The 17,858-nt window shown below is 47.3% G+C and overlaps 1 protein-coding gene and 1 pseudogene across 3 annotated transcripts, besides 5 other annotated features; one reads left to right on the forward strand and one right to left on the reverse strand.

Moving 5' to 3' along the window:
* Positions 97 to 694: an enhancer, noted in NCBI's record as "H3K27ac hESC enhancer chr1:160991075-160991672 (GRCh37/hg19 assembly coordinates)". NCBI's record gives its function as "activates a minimal SCP1, AML or CMV promoter by ChIP-STARR-seq in primed H9 embryonic stem cells {active_cell/tissue: H9 hESC(primed)}" and the evidence as "EXISTENCE:reporter gene assay evidence [ECO:0000049][PMID:30033119]".
* Positions 11,175 to 12,111: an enhancer, noted in NCBI's record as "H3K27ac-H3K4me1 hESC enhancer chr1:161002153-161003089 (GRCh37/hg19 assembly coordinates)". NCBI's record gives its function as "activates a minimal SCP1, AML or CMV promoter by ChIP-STARR-seq in primed H9 embryonic stem cells {active_cell/tissue: H9 hESC(primed)}" and the evidence as "EXISTENCE:reporter gene assay evidence [ECO:0000049][PMID:30033119]".
* On the forward strand, positions 13,642 to 14,287 carry GLRX5P2 (GLR5 pseudogene 2; annotated as a pseudogene).
* Positions 13,965 to 14,471: an enhancer, noted in NCBI's record as "H3K27ac-H3K4me1 hESC enhancer chr1:161004943-161005449 (GRCh37/hg19 assembly coordinates)". NCBI's record gives its function as "activates a minimal SCP1, AML or CMV promoter by ChIP-STARR-seq in primed H9 embryonic stem cells {active_cell/tissue: H9 hESC(primed)}" and the evidence as "EXISTENCE:reporter gene assay evidence [ECO:0000049][PMID:30033119]".
* Positions 14,472 to 14,977: an enhancer, noted in NCBI's record as "H3K27ac hESC enhancer chr1:161005450-161005955 (GRCh37/hg19 assembly coordinates)". NCBI's record gives its function as "activates a minimal SCP1, AML or CMV promoter by ChIP-STARR-seq in primed H9 embryonic stem cells {active_cell/tissue: H9 hESC(primed)}" and the evidence as "EXISTENCE:reporter gene assay evidence [ECO:0000049][PMID:30033119]".
* Positions 16,443 to 17,776, reverse strand: TSTD1 (thiosulfate sulfurtransferase like domain containing 1). 3 transcript variants are annotated; one of them, NM_001113207.2, is made up of 4 exons: positions 17,692 to 17,776; positions 17,363 to 17,485; positions 16,725 to 16,887; positions 16,443 to 16,638 (listed from the first exon to the last, which is right to left on the reverse strand). In NM_001113207.2, exons 1-4 carry the CDS (start codon positions 17,699 to 17,701, stop codon positions 16,587 to 16,589), a joined length of 348 nt encoding a protein of 115 aa, NP_001106678.1. In that variant the 5' UTR covers positions 17,702 to 17,776; the 3' UTR covers positions 16,443 to 16,586. The 3 variants fall into 3 exon arrangements, with proteins under 3 accessions (NP_001106678.1, NP_001106677.1, NP_001106676.1); NM_001113206.2 differs by lacking the exon at positions 17,363 to 17,485; NM_001113205.2 differs by having other exon boundaries at positions 16,443 to 16,887.
* Positions 17,705 to 17,754: an enhancer, noted in NCBI's record as "active region_1970". NCBI's record gives its function as "activates an Ori minimal core promoter by ATAC-STARR-seq in GM12878 lymphoblastoid cells {active_cell/tissue: GM12878}" and the evidence as "EXISTENCE:reporter gene assay evidence [ECO:0000049][PMID:35858748]".

The raw sequence follows: 17,858 nt of genomic DNA on the forward strand, positions 1-17,858 counted from the left end.
GCCCTCCGCGCCTGATTGGCCAGCTCCCCACCCCTGCACGTTCCGATTGGTGTAAGGAACCGCTGCTCTTCAGAACGAGTCACCTCGGCCAGGTGTTACCCCGCCGCCACTCCCCGCCTCGGCGCACTGGCGCCTTTCCCCACAGGAGCTGCCTCAGATTGGCCCAGGAGACTGTCGCGTCAGGAGACGAATTCCGCACCTTCAGCAGGTGACGGCCCCCTGATTGGTTGGTGTTCCCGAAGTAGCGACTTCCTGACTGGCTGGGTTCTCAGTTGGAGCTAGAGGGCTGAGAAGTACCTCTAAGGAGGAAGTAGGAAAGGCAGTCGTGGTGTGGGATTTACGGAGACCGGCTTGGCTTGGGGTTTTGTGTTTGTTTGAATGTAAGTTGCTTGGTGCAACTGCACCTGCAGTTTGGTCCTGCAGAAACTTTGGTCCTGCCTCTTGGCAAGTAAAAAACAAATATTAATATGGGAGGGTAGGGGAGAAGACCCGGAGAGAAATGGAATGTTACTTTGGCACCACCTCCAAACTGTTCCTCTGTCCACCCCACCGGCTTTGAGAGATGAGCTACGCTGGGAGGAAGAAAGGGGAAAAAAAAGGGAAAGGGAGCACTCAACTGGAAAATGGGAGCCTGGGCAGTATAGTCCCAGCTACTTGGGAGGCTGAGGTGGGAGGATGGCTTGAGCCCGGAGGCGGAGGTTGCAGTGAGCCTAGATCGCGCCACTGAACTACAGCCTGGGCGACAGAGCCAGACCCTGTCTCAAAAAACAAACAACAACAACAAAAATTTAAAAACCCACAACAACACAACTTGGGAAGAGCAGAATTACGTTATCTCAAGAAGAAAGTTAAACAGATGTACACAAAACACACCCAGATGATACAAACTGAGCTGAACATGCTCTAGAAACATCTCTGGGTGACTGGATATGTCCTTTACACATATTTGATCTGTGAACAGGTCCCTACATTTCAGAATTGTTTGTTTTCTCACTGTGACTAATAGTTGTGTGCTGACTAAGCCACCTTTTTTCTATAGACAATGTTGATACTCAAACTTTCTGTTAATATTTATATTGCTACATCATTTTTAATTGAAATTCATGCTCAACACCTTTGCTAGTTGTAGTTTCTATTTTACGATGATTTAATTTTAACTGTACTAAGCATATGCAGACTGTGGGGAAAAAACTTCCTTAGCATTACCTCATTGCAAGGGAAAAGACCACATTTTTATCCAAAAGAATGATATTGTTTGACATTTTGCCTTTTTCACCTTTGCTCTCATTCCTTTGTCCCCATCTCTTTGGCCAAAGTTCTGCTTCTGGTTCCATTCAATTTAAACCACCTACTGGGTGCTTAATAGTCTTGGCCGGGTGCGTGGCACACGCCTATAATCCCAGCACTTTGGGAGGCCGAGGTGGGTGGATCACCTGAGGTCAGTCTGACTAACGTGGTGAAACCCTGTCTCTACTAAATACAAAAAAAATTAGCCGGGCGTGGTGGCACATGCCTGTAATCTGAGCTACTTGGGAGGCTGAGACAGGAAAATCGCTTGTACCTGGGAGGAGGAGGTTGCAGTGAGCTGAAATCGCGCCATTGCACTCCAGCCTGCTGGGCATCAAGAGCGAAACTCCGTCTCAAAAAAAAAAGAAAAGAAAAGAAAGAAATTTAAAGTCTTGGAGAAAGGTATATACACTGACAGCTGGGCTCTGTGACGTGTGCCTGTAATCCCAGCTACTCAGGAGGCTGAGGCAGGAGGGGAGGATCACTTAAGGCCAGGAGTTTGAAACCAACCAGGGCAACATAGGGAAAAGACTCTGTGTCTAAGAAATTTTATTTATTTATTTATTTTTGAGACGGAGTCTTGCTCTGTCGCCCAGGCTGTAGTGCAGTGGCGCGATCTCTGCTCACTGCAAGCTCCGCCTCCCGGGTTCACGCCATTCTCCTGCCTCAGCCTCCGGAGTAGCTGGGACTACAGGCGCCCGCCACCATGCCTGGCTAATTTTTTTTTGTATTTTTAGTAAGACGGGATTTCACCGTGTTAGCCAGGATGGTCTCAATCTCCTGACCTTGTGATCCGCCCGCCTCGGCCTCCCAAAGTGCTGGGATTACAGGCGTGAGCCACCGCGCCCAGCCTATTTATTTATTTTTATTTTTATTTATTTATTTGTTTTTTGAGACGGAGTTTCACTCTTGTTGCCCAGGCTGGAGTGCAATGGCGCGATCTCGGCTCACCGCAACCTCCGCCTCCCGAGTTCAAGCGATTCTCCTGCCTCAGCCTCCCTAGTAGCTGGGATTACAGGCATGTGCCACCACGCCTGCTAATTTTGTATTTTTAGTAGAGACGGGGTTTCTCCATATTGGTCAGGCTGGTCTCAAACTCCCGACCTCAGGTGATCCGCCCACCTCGGCCTCCCAAAGTGCTGGGGTTACAGGCATGAGCCACCGTGCCCGGCCTTTATTTATTTATTTTATTTTTGAAACAGGGTCTTGCTCTGTTGCCCAGGCTAGAGTGCAGTGGTGCAATCATGGCTCACTGCAACCTCCACCTCCTGGGCTCAAGCAATCCTCCCACCTCAGTCTCCTGAGTAGATGGGACCACAGGCGTTGCCACATCCTGCTAATTTTTTCTTTCTTTCTTTCTTTTCCTTCCTTCCTTTCTTCCTTCCTTCCTCTCTCTCTCTCTTTTCTTTGTTTTTGTTGTTTTGTTCTGTATACACGATGTCTTGCTATGTAGCCCAGGCTAGTCTTGAACTCCTGAGCTCAAGTGATCCTCCCACCTCAGCCTTCCAAAGTGCTGGGATTATAGGCGTGAACCACCATGCCCCGCCAGAAAATTAAATTTAAAATTTTTTTTAATAAAAAATTAGCTGGGTATGGTGGTGTAACCTGTAATCCTGTACTCCGGAGGCTGAGACAAGAGAATCACTTGTGCCCAGGAATTCGAACCTGCAGTAAGCTATGATTGCACCACTGCACTCCTGCCTGGGCAAAGGAACAAGAAAGATCCTGCCTCTTAAAAATATAAAAATAAATAAAAATAAATTTAAAAAGCATGCATTCACAAATATAATAATAGCCATGTTACACTATTGAGTTATATTCAATTTACAGCATACTAAAATGGGTAAGCCCTTTATTTTCACTTGAACTACTGTTAAATTGGGTCTCCCACATCCTATACTTATGCATTTTTTTTTTCAGATGGAGTATTGCTCTTGTTGCCCAGGCTGGAGTGCAATGGCGCGATCTTGGCTCACTGCAACCTCCGCCTCCCAGGTTCAACCGATTCTCTTGCCTCAGCCTCCCAAGTAGCTGGGATTATAGGCCACCACGCCTGGCTAATTTTGTATTTTTAGTACGCGGGGTTTTTCCATGTTGGTCAGGCTGGTCTCGAACTCCCGACCTCAGGTGATCCGCCCAACTCGGCCTCCCAAAGTGTTGGGATTACAGGTGTAAGCCACTGCGCCCAGCCGCATTTCTTTCTTAACCAAAGTACATTTTGCATTGATCTCTATTCAATTTTATATTTTCTGTTTTGAAAATATTAATAATGGACAAGTATACATGAAATATTGTTAATAACTAAAATGAAAAAAGTAAATACAAACAGTGTGCACCTCAGTTATTACTATATAAAACATCTGCATATACAGTTACAAAGCATGAAGGTATTTTAGAGCATGCAAGTAATTTGATGTTCATCAGATTCTTTTTCCCATAAAGTTGCTTAAATGTATAATAAATGTTAAAATTTCATTGTCATTGACATTTGTTTTCCATAGTCCTTCAAAACAGATTTGTAAACTACAGACTGATTAGTTTGTCTGTAAAGTAGAAAATTATGGAAGGAATTATTCAACAGCCCCACGCACACACAAAAAAATAGACTGTGACTATAGACAGTTCAATTGAAATTCTGCAGAGAAGGCCAGCAGAGAAAAGGAGCAACAGCTGTAAGGGATGTTGAATAAACGCAGAGTAGGTATTTTGTTTAGATGGAAATACTTGTGTGCTAATAGCAATGATCCAGTAAAGAGCAAGAAATTAATCGTGTGGAAAAGAGAGGCCAGGCACAGTGGCTCATGCCTACAATCCCAGCACTTTGGGAGGCCAAGGCAGGAGTATTGCTTGAGCCCAGGAGTTCCAGACCGGCCTGGGGAACAGAGAGAGACAAAAAATAAAAAATAAAAAAAAATTAAAAAATTAGCCGGGCATGGCAGTGCCTGTGGTTCCAGCTACTCCAGAGGTTGAGGTGGGAGGATCCTTTGAGCCTGGGAGGTGGAGGCTGCAGTGAGCCATGCTCATGCCACTGCATTCCAGCCTGGGTGACAAAGCAAGACCTTCTCTCAAAAAGGGGGTGGGGGAAGAACAGTTATGGTATCAAGTAATAGAGGAGAGAAGAGATGGCATCCTGAGCTCAAGTTGAGGGTTAAAAGAAAGCAGAGAAAACTAGCCACCACAACGAGAGAAGCATGTGGTACAGCTTGTAGATTTGTTGGTGAGAAGATAATGGCAATTTCTTTGATTTCTTCAGAGGTAAACTCATTAGCTTAGAGTGCAGAGGAAAAAGGAAGTTTAGGAAATCTAGAGAGTAGGGAGAAGTGGAGACTGAAAAGGTACACACTAGTGACTGGGCTCAGTGGCTCACACCTATAATCCCAGCATTTTGGGAGGCCAGGCCAGGCGGATCACTTGAATTCAAGACCGGCCTGACCAACAAGGCAAAACCCTGTCTCTACTAAAAATATAAAAATTAGCTGGGCGTGGTAGCTCACGCCTGTAATCTCAGCTACTCGGGAGGCTGAGGCACAAGAATCACTTGAACCCAGGAGACAGAGGTTACAGTAAGCAGAGATAGCACCACTACACTCCAGCCTGGGTTACAGAGTGACACTCTGTCTCATAAAAAAAGGATACACACTAGAGAAGGGTGTTAGAAGCTGGGCGTGGTGGCTCACATCTGTAATCCCAGCACTTTGGGAGGCCAAGGCAGGTGAATCACGTCAGGAGTTCGAGACCAGCCTGGCCAATATGGTAAAACCCCCGTCTCTACTAAAAATACAAAAATTAGCCAGTCGTAGTGGCGGGCGCCCGTAGTCCCAGCTACTTGGGAGGCTGAGACAGAAGAATCACTTGAACCCAGGAGGCGGAGGTTGCAGTGAGCCAAGATCGTGCCACTGCACTCCAGCCTGGGTGACAGAGGGAGACTCCGTCTCAAAAAAAAAAAAACAGAAAAAAAAAAATTGCATATCTCTTATTACAAGTGACCTGAGCATCTCCCTGGATTAAGAGCCAGTTGTGTCTGGGTGCAGTGGCTCACGACTATAATCCCAGCACTTTGGGAGGCCGAGGCAGATGGATCACCTGAGGTCAGGAGTTCAAGACCAGCCTGGCCAACATATAGTAAAACCCTGTCTCTACTAAAAATACAAAAATTAGCTGGGCATGATGGTGCATGCCTGTAGTCCCAGCTACTTGAGAAGCTGAGGCAGGAGAATCACTTGAACCCGGGAGGTGGAGGTTGCAGTGAGCCGAGATCATGCCACTGCACTCCAGCCTGGGTGACAGAGCAAGACTGTCTCTCCAAAAAAAAAAAAAAAAAGAGCCAGTGGTATTCTGTGAATTGTCCCTTCATATGCTTTGCTCATTTTTTAATTAGGATAGTTGTTTTTTCTGATCCATTTGTACATGTTCTTTATATATCCAAGGAATTAGCTATTTGCATATGCTCTGAATTGATTTCCCCAGTTTGCTGTTTCTCTTTTGGCTTGACTTCTGCAGATGTGTTTGTTTCCCATGCAGAAGGCTTTGGCTTGTTTGTTTTGTTCTTTATCAGCCTTTTATGGCTTCTAAATTTTGAGTCATAGTTAGAAATATTTTCACCACTTTAAGGTAATGAAAGAGTTTGTACTAGTTTGTTCTCATGCTGCTAATAAAGACATACGTGAGACTGAGTAATTTATAAAGGAAAGAGGTTTAATTGACTCACAGTTCCACATGGCTGGGGATGTCTCACAATCATGGCAGAAGGCAAATGAGGAGCAAAGTCATGTCTTACATGGCAGCAGGCAAGAGAGCTTGTGTAGGGGAACTCCCCTTTATAAAACCATCAGTTCTTGTAAGATGTATTCACTATCATGAGAATAGCATAGGAAAGACCTGTCCCCATGATTCAATTATCTCCCACCGGGTCCATCCTACAACATGTGGTAATTATGGGAGCTACAATTCAACATGAGATTTTGGTGGCGACACAGCCAAACCATACCAGAGGTCTTCTTCTTAATAGTTTACATTTTTGCCTTCTCTTTTTTTTTTTTTTTTTTTTAGACGGAGTCTCATTCTGTCACCCAGGCTGGAGTACAGTGGCGCGATCTCTGCTCACTGCAAGCTCCGCCTCCCGGGTTCATGCCATTCTCCTGCCTCAGCCTCCCAAGTAGCTGGGACTACAGGTGCCTGTCACCATGCCTGGCTAATTTTTTTTTTTTTTTTTTTTTTTTGAGACAGAGTCTCACTCTGTCACCCAGGCTGGAGTGCAGTGGTGGGATCTCGGCTCACTGCAACCTCCACCTCCCGGGTTCCAGCAATTCTCCTGCCTCAGGCTCCCAAGTAGCTAGGATTACAGGCGTGCACCACCACGCTTGGCTAATTTTTGTATTTTTAGTATAGATGGGGTTTCACCATGTTGTCCAGGATAGTCTCGATCTCCTGACCTCGTGATCCACCTGCCTCGGCCTCCCAAAGTGCAGGGATTACAGGTGTGAGCCACCACAATCGGCCTTTTTTTTTTTTTTTTTTTTTTGAGATGAAGTTTCATTCTTGTTGCCCAGGCTGGAGTGAAATGGCGCAATCTCGGCCCACCCTTCCACCTCCTGGGTTCAAGCAATTCTCCTGCTTCAACTTCCTGAGTAGACGGGATTATAGGCATGCGCCACCACGCCCAGCTAATTTTGTATTTTTTTAGTAGAGACAAAGTTTCTCCATGTTGGTCAGGCTGGTTTCGAACTCCCGACCTCAGTGATCTGCCCGCCTCATCCTCCCAAAGTGCTGGGATTACAGGCATGAGCCACCATGCCCAGCCGACATTTTTTACTTTCAATCTTTCATCCATTTGAAATTTATCTTAGTATAGCGTATGGGTTACAAAACCCATCTGTATATCCATTCACGTTGTTTTAATTACTAAGAATTTATTTCATTTCATTTCATTCATTTATTTATTTAGAGGCAGGGGTCTCACTATGTTGTCCAGGCTAGCCTCAAACTCCCGGTCCCAAGCAATCCTCCCACCTCAGCCTTCTGAGTAGCTGGGACTAGAGTTATGTACCACCAAGCCCAGCTAATGAATCATATATTCAGGGGAGTCAAATCTTTTGGCTTCCCTGGGCCACACTGGAAGAAGAATTGTCTTGGGCTACACATAAAATACACTAACACTGGCTGAGTGCAGTGGCTCACACCTGTAATCCCAGCATTCTGGGAGGCCAAGGCGGGTGGATTATTTGAGGTCAGGAGTTTGAGACCAGTCTGGCCAAAATGGGGAAACGGTGTCCCTACTAAAAATACAAAAATTAGGTGGGCATTGTGGCAAGTGCCTGGAGTCCCAGCTACTCGAGAGGCTGAAGCAGGAGAATCACTTGAACCCAGGAAGCAGAGGTTGCAGTGAGCCAAGATTGTGCCACTGCACTCCAGACTCACACACACACACACACACACACACACACAAATCTTATAATGTTTTAAGAAAGTTTCTGCCTCTGCCTCTGCCTCTGCCCTTTGCACGGTCCTCATCTCCCCTTTGCACGGTCTCCCTCTGATGCCGAGCCGAGGCTGGACTGTACTGCCGCCATCTCGGCTCACTGCAGCCTCCCTGCCTGATTCTCCTGCCTCAGCCTGCTGAGTGCCTGGGATTGCAGGCGCGCCGCCACACCTGACTGGTTTTCGTATTTTTTGGTGGAGACGGGATTTCGCCGTGTTGGCCGGGCTGGTCTCCAGCTCCTGACCACGAGTGGTCTGCCAGCCTCGGCCTCCCGAGGTGCCGGGATTGCAAACGGAGTCTCGCTCACTCAGTGCTCAATGTTGCCCAGGCTGGAGTGCAGTGGCGTGATCTCGGATCGCTACAACCTCCACCTCCCAGCCGCCTGCCTTGGCCTCCCAAAGTGCCGAGATTGCAGCCTCTGTCCCGCCGCCACCCCGTCTAGGAAGTGAGGAGCGTCTCTGCCTGGCCGCCCTTCGTCTGGGATGTGAAGAGCCCCTCTGCCCGGCCGCCCAGTCTGGGAAGTGAGGAGAGCCTCTTCCCGGCCGTCATCCCGTCTAGGAAGTGAGGAGCGTCTCTGCCTGGCCGCCCATCATCTGGGATGTGGGGAGCGCCTCTGCCCCGCCGCCCCTTCTGAGATGTGAAGAAAGCCTCTGCTCGGCCGCGACCCCGTCTGGGAACTGAGGAGTGTCTCTGCCCCGCCGCCACCCCGTCTGGGAGGTGAGGAGCGTCTCTGACAGGCCGCCCTGAGAAGTGAGGAGCCCCTCTGCCCGGCAGCCGCCCCGTCTGGGAAGTGGGGAGCCCCTCCACCCGGCAGCCGCCCCATCCGGGAGGTGGGGGGCAGCCCCCGCCCGGCCAGCCGCCCCGTCCGGGAGGTGGGGGGCAGCCCCCGCCCGGCCAGCCACCCCGTCCGGGAGGTGGGGGGCGCCTCTGCCCGGCAGCCCCGTCTGGGAAGTGAGGAGCCCCTCTGCCCGGCCGCCACCCCGTCTGGGACGTGTACCCAACAGCTCATTGAGAACGGGCCATGATGACAATGGCGGTTTTGTCGAATAGAAAAGGGGGAAATGTGGGGAAAAGAAAGAGAGATCAGATTGTTACTGTGTCTGTGTAGAAAGCAGTAGACATAGGAGACTCCATTTTGTTCTGCACTAGGAAAAATTCTTCTGCCTTGGGATGCTGTTAATCTATAGCCTTACCCCCAACCCCGTGCTCTCTGAAACATGTGCTGTGTCCACTAAGGGTTAAATGGATTAAGGGTAGTGCAAGATGTGCTTTGTTAAATAGGTGCTTGAAGGCAGCATACGCGTTAAGAGTCATCACCACTCCCTAATCTCAACTACCCAAGGACACAAACACTGCAGAAGGCAGCAGGACCCTCTGCCTAGGAAAACCAGAGACCTTTGTTCACATGTTTATCTGCTGACCTTCCCTCCACTATTGTCCTATGACCCTGCCAAATCCCCCTCTCCGAGAAACACCCAGGAGTGATCAATAAATACTAAATAAATAAATAAAGTTTATGAATTTGTGTTGGGCTGTATTCAAAGCTGTCCTGGGCCATGTGTGGCCCACAGGCCGTGGGTTGGACAAGCTTGATATATATGAATAGCTGGTGGGGCTTGATGCCCCTCATTGATGTTCTTTTTCAAGCTTTTCTGGTTATTCTTGTTTTCAACTAAACATCATGATATATTTACAAAGTTGAGTCTTCCTATCCAAGAACCTTTTAAGTCTTTTCTTTTTTTTTTTTTTTTTTTTTTTTGAGACAGAGTCTCGCTCTGTTGCCCAGGCTGGAATGTAGTGGCACGATCTCAGCTCACTGCAACCTCCACCTCCTGGGTTCAAGCGATTCTCTTGCCTCAGCCTCCCTAGTAGCTAGGATTACAGGCATGCACCACTACGCCTGGCCAATTTTTGTATTTTCAGTAGAGACAGGGTTTCACCATGTTGGCCAGGCTGGTCTTGAACTCCTGACCTCAAGTGATCCACCCACCTCGGCCTCCCAGAGTGCTAGGATTCCAGGCGTGAGCCACCGCACCCAGCCCAGTCTTTTCATTTTTACAAGTCTAATTTTAGGTCTTTTTATTGTATTTTTACCACTTTCTTCATACAGGTCTTGAACTTTCTTAATAAGTATATTCCTAGTTATGCAAAGGAATGATGACAATTACGAATCATGTATAGAATCTAAACTCAATTAGGAGGAAAATATGGGCATGAGGAAAGTTGTAAAAATTTGGTAAGGTCAATTAATTGAAGGATTTGATAGGTTCAAGCATATGATTAGGAATGGAAATGCTAGTAGAATGAGCTGGAAGGATTTCTTATTGGGAAATACCATCAGGCCTCGTTTCTTAGGATTTTCCATTTTCTTGGCTTATCTTCACTTTAAAGTCTCTGGCCATGAGCTCAACATGTATTTTCTTTGAATTTTAAAAATCTGTTTTGCTGTAGTCTATTTCTTGTGTCTAACTGTGCTTAGTGGTTTTTTTTTCCTTTGGTTAATATGAATTTCAGGAGGCATGATCTATTACTTCTCATGTAAATACTAACCAAAATCGAAGTGGTATAGTTGTACTAATAGCAGATAAAATGGATTTGAAGGTAGGAAGCATCCCCAGGGATAAAGAGGGACACAGTGAGAAAGGGATCAATCCAGGAGGGAAGCATAACAATTCTAAATTTGTATACATCAAATAACATAGCCTCCAAAATATATAAAGTAAAACTGAACAGAACTAAAAAGAAAAATGGTCAAATCCAAATCATAGTGAGATATTTAAATACACCTCTGTAAGTAACTGGTAGAACAAGCAGAAAAAAACAATCAGTAGAGAGATAGACTTGGGCCAGGTTCAGTGGCTCATGCCTGTAATCCCAACACCTTGGGAGGCTGTGGTGGGAGGACTGCTTGAGCCCAGGAGTTCAAGACCAGCCTGGGCAACATAGCAGGACCTTGTCTCAAAAAAAAAAACGAGAGAGAGAGAAAGAAAGAAAAAGGGAAGGAAAAGGAAGGGGAGGGGAGGGGAGGGAAGGGAGAAGGAAGGCCAAAAAAAAAAGAGATAGATTTGAACAACATAATTTAGTAAATTGGACCTAACCGACATATATAGAACACTGCACCCAAAAGCTGCAGAATACACCTTCTTTTCAAGTGTTCAGTGACCATTTACAAAAACTGGCCATAAAGCAAATCTCAACACTTTTTAAATGATTCATATCATACAGTATATATTTTCCTACTGAGTACCTCTCATATGCCAGGTTATAGTTTTACTGTTGGCCATACAATAATAAAATAAAGTCCCTCCTCTTAGAGAGCTCAGGCTATTTTGCTCCCCCTCACCCCCACCCACTTCAATAAGCTGGTCTAGAAAGCTCAGTCTAAAGTGGGAAGAACCATGCAATGTGATAAGTGCTACAATAGAGGTACATACTTTATCCATTTTTCCCATGTCTTATGTCCTTCATGGAATTCAGCTATATAATTTTATCTGGTTATTTTTCTCCCCTCTCCTTCAGTTTAAAAGCCATCTTGATGAAAACAACAAGTCTCATGCCAAAAAAATTCTGCTAATTCTTGTGAAATTCAGAGTGGTACAAAGGAGACTGGAAACTTCCCAAACAGGGAAAATGGCAAGTAAAGGCCAGGGTCAGGAAGGAGTAGGGCCTACTTAGGACACGAAGAAAACCAGCTTGTGGGGAGCAGCCACTGGAAGATAAATTTGGAAAGGCAAGGTGACACCAGATCTAGACTACAGATTGCTCAAAAGGCCAGGCTGAGACAAGTGCTTGAGCCACTAGACAACAAGGACCTATTATAAATTATCAATTCTGACTAAGATAAAAATGTTATTTTAAGATCAGGCAGGCAGTGATTCTTCAGAAAGGCTGAAATTAGAAGATTCTGAAGGTCGGAAGGCTAGTGAGGCTCAGCAGACACCTACTGAGAAGTCATGTTTGAGGCACTGGAGGTAAGAAAGTGAAAGCCAGTCCCTCCCTTTGAGAAACTCACAATCAATTAGGAGAGACAAACAAATGAACAAGAAAAATGTGGTGTAATAGAAATGATGACACACATTTGTGGTAAATATAAACGTGGGAGAGATACAGGATGAAAGGGCAGAGTTTAATTTAGTATGAAAAGGAAGGTGTAAGGCAAGAGAAGTGCATATAGCTGGTAAACTCCAAGACTTCAACCTCACCTGCTGAAATAGTTGTGAGGAAAGGGAAAGAGAATTTTAAAAGGCAAGATAATGGCTTGGAACAGCCTATCGGGGTTATGAACCAAACAGCTAATGAAGGAGAAAGAGGAATGTTCTCTTAATGTTGATCAAGCCAGAGGGCATGGTTATGTAATGAGCCAGGTCCGTTTACTTCCAGGATTCTCTCTAAACCTCATCAGTTATAAAACTGAAGAAAGCAGCTGGGCGTGGTGGCTCACACCTGTAATCCCAGCACTTTGGGAGGCAGGTGGATCACAAGGTCAGGAGTTCGAGACCAGCCTGGCCAATATGGTGAAACCCCATCTCTACTAAAAATACAAAAATTAGCTGGGCGTGGTGGTGGGCGCCTGTAGTCCCAGGTACTTGGGAGGCTGAGGCAGGAGAATAACTTGAACCCGGGAGGTGGAGCTTACAGTGAGCCAAGATTGCACCACTGCACTCCAGCCTGGGTGACAGAGCCAGACTCCATCTCAAAAAAACACCTGAAGAAAGCAAATGGCTACTTTTTTTTTTTTTTTTTTTTTTTTTTTTTTGAGACAGGGTCTCACTCTGTCACACAAACTGGAGTGCAGTGCATAATCATGGCTCACTGCAGTCTCAACCTCCTGGTCTCAAGCAATCCTCCTGCCTCAGCCTCCTAAGTAGCTGGGACTACAGGCGTGCACCACCATACCCAGCTAATTTTTTGCAGAGATGAGGTCACACTATGTTGCCCAGGCTGGTCTTGAACTATTTGCCTCAGGCAATCCTCTTGCATCAGCCTCCCAAAGTGCTGGTATTATAGGCGTGAGTCACCACACCTGGCTAAAAACTACTTTATGGTGATAAAAGATAAAGCGGTTACCTAGAAAGGGGGTAGGGTGGGATTGACTAGAAAAGGCCACCTAGAGATATTCTGGGGATTTCCATGTTCAAGATTGTGTTTAGGATGGTGGTTACAAGTGAGTATATTCAAAATTCAGTGAATTGAATGCTTAAGAATTGTGCATTTTGGCCAGGCACGGTGGCTCACGCCTGTAATCCCAGCACTTTGGGAGGCCAAGGTGGGCGGATCACCTGAGGTCGGGAGTTCGAGACCAGCCTGACCAACATGGAGAAAACCCGTCTCTATTAAAAATACAAAATTAGCTGGGCGTGGTGACGCATGCCTATAATCCCAGCTACTCAGGAGGCTGAGGCAGGAGAATCACTTGAACCCAGGAGGCGGAGGTTGTGGTGAGCCAAGATCGCACCCTTGCACTCCAGCCTGGGCAACAAGAGTGAAACTCTGTCTCATAAATAAATAAATAAATAAATAAATAAATAAATAAATAAATAAAATAAAGACTATTCTAGTCGAGTGCGGTGGCTCACGCCTGTAATCCCAGCACTTTGAGAGGCTGAGGTGGGCGGATTACCTGAGGGTGGGAGTTTGAGACTGGGCGGATTACCTGAGGGTGGGAGTTTGAGACGAGCCTGACCAACATGGAGAAATCCCATCTCTACTAAAAATACAAAATTAGCCAGGCATGGTGGCACATGTCTGTAATCCCAGCTACTCGGGAGGCTGAGGCAGGACAATCACTTGAACCCCGGAGGCAGAGGTTGCAGTGAGCTGAGATCGCCCCATTGCACTCCAGCCTGGGCAACAAGAGCGAAACTGTGTCTCAAAAACAAAAAAGACTATTCCAACTGGCCCACTATCCTCAATGGATACCTCAATGGCGAGTTTGTGGGGGGCTGTGACATTCTTATGCATATGTACTAGAATGGGTACCTGGTGAAAGAACTGAAAAAGCTGGGGCTCTGTTCTGCCCTTTTAGATTAAAAGAAAGACCAAGACTCCAAGTGAGGGCGCCTGGGCCTCAATGAACAGAGAGGGGGCCGTTCATGTCAGAGACTCCCTGCCAGAAAAGCCTTTCCAATTTTGGTTTTCATTACTGAGACAACAACTGCTTGCACTGATCATTTCAGTTCATGAGCAGTCTAGTGATTTTAGTTTGTCTGGTGTTTGGGTTAAGAATATTTTATTGTGAACTTAATTACAACCACTGCACTGTAATAATTAATGCTATATTATGATATTGTTGCAAACAAAATTCATTCTTATATTGTCATTTATTCTTTGCCCAATTCAGGAGTTAAAGTAGGGGCTTTGAAATCATTATTATTCATGACCCCTCTTGCAGACTGTGTCAGTCTGCAAGGACAGTATCTTCCTCCAAATTTTGTGTAGCTTCTTTTGTTATGGAAAATGGACTAAAAAGAAACTGTGATAACTGGGGCGTTGTTTTTTTAAAATAAACTGCCAACCACAGGGTAAAAAAAGAAAATGGTGCATTTTTTTTTTTTTTTTTGAGACAGAGTCTCGCTCTGTCGCCCAGGCTGGAGTACAGTCTCGTGACCTCGGCTCACTGCAACCTCTGCCTCCTGGGTTCAAGCAATTCTCATGCCTATGCCTCAGCCACCAGAGTAGCTGGGACTACAAGCGAGCACCACCAGGCCTAGCTAATTTTTGTATTTTTAGTAGAGACAGGGTTTCACCATGTTGACCAGGCTGATCTTGAACTCCTGGCCTCAAGAGATCCGCCCGCCTCGGCTTCCCAAAGTGCTAGGATTACAGGCATGAACCACCATACTGGGCCAAGAATTGTGCGTTTTATTGTTAAGTAAATTATGCCAATAATAATAATAAAATGCTATAACCAAATTATAATAAAGACCTGTGGAGGGGAAAACTCGTCTCTACTAAAAACACAAAATTAGCTGGGTATGGTGGCGCATATCTGTAATCCCAGCTACTCGGGAGGCTGAGGCAGGAGAATTGCTTGAACCCGGGAGGCAGAGGCTGCGGTGAGCTGAGATCACGCCATTGCACTCCAGCCTGGGCAACAAGAGCAAAACTCCGTCTCAAAAATAAATAAATGAATGAATGAATGTAGGAGGGCTGGGTATAGTAGAGAAGGCAGAAGGGAAGAAAAGGAGGTGAGAGACAGGCAAGGAATGCAGGAAATGCCTGAAAGAAGTTCTTCAGAGGCATGAAAAATCAGAAAACTGGATTCATTTCTGACTCAATCTTCTCTTCCACAGATTAAGGAATACATTTTCCAAAAATCAAACTTAAGAAGTAAAAACTCTGCCATGAAAATATTTAAAATGTATTATGCATCAAACTATACACTATACTAGAGGGAAGTCATATACCTACTGTGTAGTGCTGAATTTTGTTTCAGTAAGCATGTGTAATTTCATCTTTTTAACCAATTAAATTTTGGTTTTTTTGAGACTGAGTCTCTCTCTGTCACCCAGGCTGGAGTGCAGTGGCACTATCTCAGCTCACTGCAATATCTGCCTCCTGGGTTCAGGCAATTTTCCTGCCTCAGCCTCCCAAGTAGCTGGGACTACAGGTGTGCACCACCACACCTGGCTAATTTTTTTATTTTTGGTAGACATGGGGTTTCACCATGCTGGGCAGGCTGGTCTCAAACTCCTGACCTCAGGTGATCCGCTGCCTTGGCCTCCTAAAGTGCTGGGATTACAGGCATGAGCCACCGTGCCTGGCCAACCAATTAAATTTGTTAAATCCAGTATAAGAGATCAGTGTTGATAAAAACAGAAACCTGAGGCCGGGCGCAGTGGCTCACGCCTGTAATCCCAGCACTTTGGGAGGCCGAGGTGGGCGGATCATGAGGTCAGGAGATCGAGACCATCCTGGCTAACACGGTGAAACCCCGTCTCTACTAAAAAAAAATACAAAAAATTAGCTGGGCGTGGTGGCGGGCACCTGTAGTCCCAGCTACTCAGGAGCCTGAGGCAGGAGAATGGCGTGAACCCGGGAGACTGAGCTTGCAGTGAGCCGAGATCGTGCCACTGCACTCCAGCCTGGGTGACAGAGCAAGACTCTGTCTCAAAAAAAAAAAAAAAACGAAACCTGGTTTTGGTGGCACAGGAAAGGCTCCTCACACCTGTAATCTGTGCATGACACATCAGTAGGGATGAAGGGTTCCATCCATTCCCTCACCCAAAGGCCTGGGATTGCCCTTTCACCTCCTCAATCCATGGACAAAGCAGCCATAGACAATAACCAAAGTTCACAGCAGCACAGCCAGTTGGGGCCATAGTTTGCTGACCTCTGGTCTACAGCAGTGGTACCTGCTTCTGGCTGTATATGAGAATCACCCCAGGGGCCCATAAAGCCACTAATGCTCAGGCTCCACCCTCCATATTCTGAATTAAAAAATAAAACAAACAAAAAAACCTACTAGGTGATTCTGATGTGCATTCTGGGCTGAAAACAGCTATTCTAGAAGAACTGTACATTGTAGCCTCTCAGGAAACTGCTAGAATGTTGCATGTGGGGAGTGCTAGGGGGAAGCAGATGAATGCTGCGAAATGATGATCCAGGGCTGAATTGAGGTCTAGATAAAGATTAGAACTGTTTTCAGTCCACCTGACACATTAAGTGCTTCCAATACTTTGATTAAATGTTCTTTATTTGATGCTTTTGTGTGCACAACACTATAAGGAGTTGCCCAATTCACCAAGTCAGCCCGTTCACACCCTTAGTTAAGGTGGCCATTAAGGGGCCAGGGGGTGGCAATCAGTAAGCTGCCTCCTGCCTAACTCTCTTTCTCCAACCATTCTCTATAGGCTCCAGCGTAGTTGCGAGCCCTGTGGAGACAAAGAAGCGTGAGAGACTGACAGGAATGACAGGCAGTCCCCATCACCTCCCAGCTAGCAGCCACACCTCCCCGTACCCAGTGTATCCAAGACTCCGGGCCAGCTGCGTGGCCTGGAGGCCCCGCTTGCCCATCTGACAGAAGAAAACGAGATGCTCATCTTCCAGCTTTGGCTTCTCAGCAGAATATAAAGCCTGGAAGGCAGCTGGCTCCATCTGCAGAGCACTCTCCAACTCGGACACTGGAGGAGTGGAGAGGGTAGAAGGGAAAGCCAGCAATTTGGCACTCAGGTTCGGAAGCTGGGCCTGGAAGGGCTGGGTCCTGGGGGCCCCCAAACAACATATGATAACCATCCCCTACCCCCACCCCAATTTCAAGGAACAGAAACCGACAACTTTTGAATGCAAGCCACTCCCTAAGCTGTGAGGAGGCGGGGCGGGATGCCCCCTCAGGCGTCCAGATTTGGGGAGGTCAAGAGAAGCTGGTCTGCCCCTCTCCTCTCCGCCTGCTGTCTTCTCAAACTGGATGGGCCAGTTCCGATGCCAAGATCCGCCCCCCATCAGTCCTTCCTACGGAAGCTGAGGGCTGGCTCCCGGGAATGCAGGACCCCCATAATCAGTGCCTTCCCCATTCCATCCTAAATGAGGTCCCATTGGCAAAGAACCTCCTGAACGGTCTCTATTCCACCACCTGGGCGTCCCCTCTCCACCCTATACCCGGGATGTTGAGCGCCCCTGGGATGGTCCCAGCTGCCGCCTCCTCGCGAGAGCGCACGTCGAAGAGCCGGGCCCGTCCGGAGGCTAGGAGTGAACGGAGTTCAGGAAGCGAGACCGTGGGCGCTGAGGAAGGGGCGCGACAGCCTTCAGGAAGAGGGGGCCTAGGAGTCACGGCCGCCATGGCATCCCCTCACCTGGCAGCGCCCCTCCCGGTAGGGTGTGCACGAAGACCCCTCAGCCACGCCCCTTCGCTCCGCCACCCCACTCCCTGCCACGCCTCAACCCAGAGGACCAAGAGAACCGCGGCCCCAGGAATCCCCCGCAGGTACCTCCAGCCATGGTGCGCGTAGCAACCGCGAGTCTCCGGAGTGCGGCCCTGGCCCGCCCTCTCGGCGCCTGCAACATCTCCCGTTCCCTCCCAGAGCTGAGACCGGATCCGGAAGCAAGGGCACCGCCTCCCGCGCCGCCCCCGCAGCACCTGTTCGCGGCGCCTCTA

Source organism: Homo sapiens, chromosome 1 (assembly GCF_000001405.40).
Source record: "Homo sapiens chromosome 1, GRCh38.p14 Primary Assembly".
Lineage (NCBI taxonomy): Eukaryota > Metazoa > Chordata > Mammalia > Primates > Hominidae > Homo > Homo sapiens.

What these genes read in the sequence shown, in the direction of transcription:
- TSTD1 (NM_001113207.2), bottom strand. An exon ending in AGGGGCGCTCAACATCCCGG is followed by an intron (nt 16,888 to 17,362) that starts GTATAGGGTGGA and finishes CCACTCCTCCAG; the next exon opens with TGTCCGAGTTGGAGAGTGCT. An exon ending in CGGAGTCTTGGATACACTGG is followed by an intron (nt 16,639 to 16,724) that starts GTACGGGGAGGT and finishes TTGTCTCCACAG; the next exon opens with GGCTCGCAACTACGCTGGAG.